General features: G+C 51.0%; 1 annotated feature.

The window, feature by feature from the left end:
* Positions 2232–2401: an enhancer, noted in NCBI's record as "experimental_12643 CRE fragment used in MPRA reporter constructs". NCBI's record gives its function as "activates a minimal promoter by MPRAs in K562 erythroleukemia cells, with activity observed for both the introgressed and non-introgressed 10:44559188 variant alleles {active_cell/tissue: K562}" and the evidence as "EXISTENCE:reporter gene assay evidence [ECO:0000049][PMID:34662402]".

The raw sequence follows: 5280 nt of genomic DNA, 5'->3' as shown, positions 1-5280 counted from the left end.
AGAGCTGGCCTCCTTGTCCCCTGTTGCTGTTGAGCCAGGTGTGGGATAGGGACACAGGAGGACATGCAGTGGCCGTAATACAGAACAAACAGTAGGGTCCATTTTTCACATAGCCACAAATTCCACCCCTTCCTGTAACCACCCCTTGGATCTTGGCCATTCTAGTGTTTTAGTCAACAGAACAGGGCACGAGCCATGTGTACTAGATCCAAACCAGGCCCTCTGCACACCACTAACGCTCTGCCCTCGTTTCTGGAATCTGGCAGACACTGTGTGAACGAGGCTAGGTCACCTGCTGGATTATGAGAAGCTCGTGGCCCTGACTCCCCACCTCTCAGCCAGAATGAAGCCAACCTCCACGCAAGCACAGAGGGCTCCAGACCAGCAGACCCCACCTGACCTGTCAGCTGACCCCAGACCTGAGCAAGCCCAGCTTCCATCAGTTAGCCTGACCTCAACAGCAGAACTGCCCAGCAGGCCTGAAGACTGCCCAGCACTGATAAATAGTTGTTTAAGCCACTCCCTTATGGAGCAGTTTCTTACCCAGTGAAAGCTAACAGATGTAGACAGTCACTCAGAGGCAGTGGTAGCTGTGAAACTTCCAACCACACAGTGCAAGACTGTCAGCCTCTACACACCACGCTGGGCAGCATGGGTCCTGCTGCCTTGCAGTGCCCTTGGAGTGGCATTTAAAAACACCGAGGGAACTCTGTGCTGTGTAGGGTGGCAGAGTGTTGCCAGGCCCACATCCTGTTCTGTCACTAGCTGTATGACTTTACGTCTCAAATGTGAGCCTCAAATTTTTCAACATAAATTGAGCCTATTTCTTTAAAACTGTGCTTCTCAAAGTGGGGTCCCTGGGCCAGACGCTACAGCCTCACCTGGAAACTCATCAGCAATCCACCTTCTCACACCTCAACCCACACCTGCTGAATCAGAAACCTAGGACTGGGGTCTAGAAAGTTGTGTTTTAAGAAGCCCCCAGGTCATTTGGATGGGCCAGCTCAGATATGAGAGCCCTGCTTTAATGTGACTGTGAGAATAAAGTGCTATCATCTGTATAAAACATCCAGGACAAGGGAGACACTCAATTCTCTCACTCCTTTCCCTTTACTGAATAGACTTAATAGAAGGCATGAATGCATTTAGGTGTACAGATAATTAAGACAAATTAACATATGAAACATATATGTATAAATATAGGTAAAACAGATATAAGATTGGACACACACATTGCCACTTATCTAGGTGGAGGTCATTCAGCTTAACTTCTATAAAATGGACAGCAGATAAGACCTCATCATTTACTTTCTGCCTTCTTATATCTGCATCATCAACATGTCAGTGAGGTCTTCAGAGGATCTTCTGATGGGTGAAGCCACAGAGACATGTGGATGTGGTGCCCGGCTAGTGCCTGAGGTGGGGTGTGGGGAGTGTGCCGCCAAGACACACTAACTCCACGCAGCCTCAGCAGGGAGCTACCCCCACAGAGCCTGGCGTCTGGCTGTGCTCCCTGCTTTGTATCTGCCAGGAGCAGGGAGGGGAGGGGAGGGGAGGCTGGAGGGAGGCTGGATGTGGAGGAGAAGGCAAGTCAGAGTCCTCCTGACTCACCGGGAGAGGTGAGCAGGATGTTCTCCATGAGCTGGACCCCTAATTATCCTAACAATGCCCTGAATTCTGGGATGTCTCGTGAGGTGCCATGTTGGTGCCTGTGAACGCTGCAGATGTGAGCGATCTGTGTTCATGAGCTGACACACAAGTGCTGCTGCATCCACAGCACATGGGTGTCGCCTGCTGCATTTGGGTTCTTCTGTAGGAGCCTGTGAATACACAGAAGAGAGAGTGGAATGAGAGATCTCATCACTGAAGAAACCAGCACAAAGTGTGCCCGAAACCACAGAGGCACATGGAGAGGGGAGGGCTGCCTGTGCAGAGAGGAGGAGCATGAGAAACAGAGAGGGGGTCCCAGAGACTGCCCCTAACCAGGTTTCTGCCTCTGTGCATGTCCATGAATTATGGGATCCTGGGAACAAGCCAATTGCCCCGCCCAGTACAGCCCTTTGAAAGCACTGGTGTCTGCCAGGAAAAGATCCAAATGCTGAGGCCCCAGAACCAAGGAGGAGCCAAGGGCCTTTGGTCTTTGCAAGGAGTTGTTGCCTCTAACCACAGGGTCTCAAGTCTATGTTCAATGGGGCCAGTGGGATGTCTAACTACAAAAAGGCAGCTAAGCTAGACTCCAGCTGAGCTGTCAGAGGCCAATGACAGTGCTACAAGGCAAGCAAGTGGCTGCTGGGACCCACTGGGCTCAGGTTCCCTTACCGGAGTGATCATGGGCCTTCAGAGTCCTTCCCTGGACATGGCCCATTGGCTGAGAGGAGACTCGCCTTAGCTTCTGGTGGTGGCAGTCCTGGGGGCTGGTCAGGGAGGGTGGGCTAATTAAGGGACCTGAGCTCCCCTAGCTGCAAAGCATTCTGGAGCTGCAGGGATAGATGCTCCTGGGACTTCTCTGGCTACGGAACTGCAGGAGGCTCCATCTACCAATCTGGCCCACATTCAGGCTCTGGACTCCATATTCTACCCCCTCTCCTTTTGACTAAGGACTAGAGGATATGAAGAAACAAATACTTGCCCTGCACCCTGTCTGGGGTACTTCTCACCCTGCACAGTGCTGAGCCCTGATGTCCATCACTTTACTCAGTCCATAAGAACTCCAAAGTCATGTTTTATTATCCCATTTACAATGAAAGAAATGGGCACCAGGAGCCACCTCCCAGATCTCGATCTAGAATCTCTGCATCACCCAGGGGCTCCCCTGTTCCCCTCCCATCAGGCTACCCATGGCAACCACTCTTCCATCTCTCCAGCAAGGTTTGCTTGTTTCTCAACATCACTTGAGTGGAACCAAGCAGTAACTATTCTGGGGTGTCCCCCATGCTGTGTGTATGTGTGGTCACCCAGGGTGAGGCATACAGCCATCATTTATTGTGTTGTATTGCTGTGGTGTACTTTACTGTATGAACACACCATAATTTGTTTATCCATTTTACTGCTGTTGAATATTTGGGTTCTCCCCAGGTTTTGACTATTTTGAGTAAGGTTGCCATGAACATGTCTGACATGCCTTTCGAGGACAGATATTTCTTTCTGCTGGGGATACTCCCAGGGGTGAAGCTTTTGGGCTGGGCCGTGTCTACATGTTTAACTTTAGAGATAGCTTCAGCCCTCTAAAGCTGTTGTCCAGGTTACCCTCCCACTAGGAAGGGATGAGAGTTGGGGTCGCCCTGCACCCTCACCAGCACTCACTATCATCAGTCTTTTCCATTTTAATTGCTCTGGCAGGGGCGCAGTGGTATATCCTTGTGTTTTTAATTTCCATTTTTTTGAGATGGCATCTCACTATGTTACCCAGGTTGATCTTAAAGTCCTGGCCTCAAGTGATTCTCCCTCTCCTTCCTCAGCCTCCCAAGTCTCAGGGATTACAGGCATGAGCCTTAATTTGCATTTCTCTGATGAGTGATGAAGAGCCAGTTTTTGAACTCAGTTCTATTTAATTCCAGACCCAACTCTCCTCACTGCTCCACTCCGTAAGATTCCAGCAATGCTTTGGCCACCTCCCTTCAGCCTCCTTAGCACAGCTTACCCCAGGTGTCCTCACAGGCCTTTCCCTACAGTACTGCAGGGGGCGGTGAGCTCCCCCAGGCCTGGACACTGGGCATGGCAAGAAGGGGCCGGATGCTTCAGCAGCAGGCCAGACAGGCACGTGTTTTGACAACCCTGATGCAGGGGACCAACACCCTGAGTGTGGGAGAGATGTGAAGGGAACGTCATTTCAGGACACAGCTTGGGAGCCTCGTGTGTCACAACACCATGGGGGCCAGGGGAGCACGAACCAGGGGAGGCTCTGCTGGCTTTGGTGTCCTCCAGCTTCTGAAAGTTTCACCGTCTCAGTTGTGAGGATGTCCCTGGTTTCTTCAGGGGAATGACCTTGTTTCCTCCTCACTGATACAGGAACAGTGAGGTTTACCCTCAGGCCATTGTAAAAGTGAGTTAGAGACCTTTTAAAACAGGGATACAGGTGAACAGGAAGCCAGGCTGTGGGATTGTGGGAGGCACAGTCACAGGTGGGAGGGCTGGTGTCTGTGCCTCCGCAGGTGAGGGCAGCGCCAGAAGCCTCTGTCAGGGTCGGGGCAGCACCAAACCCCCTTTTAGGAACATTCTGAGGGTCAGCATGGATGGTTTTCTTTGTTTGTTTTTTTTTTTTTTTTTTTGGTATCCTTTGAAAAATGGGTGGTAAGCTTGTGGTGAGCCTGATCATTTTCTTGTGTTTTCATTTGATCAAGCTTCTTCCCACAAATATCATCAGACCCACATCAGTGTGCCCAACAGAGTACACGTAGGACACACTGAAAAGTGAGATTCAAGGGGAAACATGGTACCTGGCACATACTCGTGGGAAACAAAATTAGAAAGAACTTCTTTCAAAAGAGAGAGAGAGAATGAATTAATAAAGATAAAAGAATGCAATAGTAAGTCCAGATTTAACCAATTTAGGCTCCTTTGAGGAGATCCAAGACCTCACTTAGGTCCTGCCAGCCATCAGCCACCTGCCCCCAGTCCTATCCCAACTCTGCCATCAGCCACCTGCCGCCAGTCCTATCCCAACTCTGCCATCAGCCACCTGCCCCCAGTCCTATCCCAACTCTGCCATCAGCCATGTGCCCCCAGTCCTATCCCAACTCTCCCACCAGCTGCATGCCCCCCATCCTATCCCAACTCTGCCATCAGCCGTGTGTCCATGGTCCTATCCCAATTCTGCCATCAGCCGCATGCCCCAAGGCCTATCCCAACTCTGCACTGGCCTCAGCTCTCACATCCTTATGATGAGGTGTGTGCAGCTCTCAGTTGTCAGCCCCACTTTAATTTCACTGCTTTACAACATCCCCTAGCTCCCCATTGCCTGCAGAAGCAAATCCAGTCTTCACTGGGGCTTACAAGCCCTCTATGTTCTAGGTCCCACCCCCCTGCCCATCCCTGCCTGAGGCTCCATCCTCTCAGGCAGGGGAGCATTCTTGCTTTTCATGCCTCAATGCAACTGCATCTTTTCCAAGTTCAGCTGAGAACACCTTTCTCTCCTTTTCAGCCTGGTGAACTCCTCTGGCGAGTCCCGCCCTCATCAGCAGCCCAACACAACAGCCCTGGAGTGGCTCTTCCCACCTTCTGCTGCAATTGTTTGTTTTTGAGCCTCTCTCTAACTGTGGACTCCCTAGGAGGAATATAGAA

This window comes from Homo sapiens, chromosome 10, assembly GCF_000001405.40.
Source record: "Homo sapiens chromosome 10, GRCh38.p14 Primary Assembly".
In the NCBI taxonomy this organism is placed as follows: domain Eukaryota; kingdom Metazoa; phylum Chordata; class Mammalia; order Primates; family Hominidae; genus Homo; species Homo sapiens.
The sequence above is the reverse complement of the archived record's forward strand: the minus strand, read 5'-3'. Positions and strand labels throughout refer to the sequence as shown.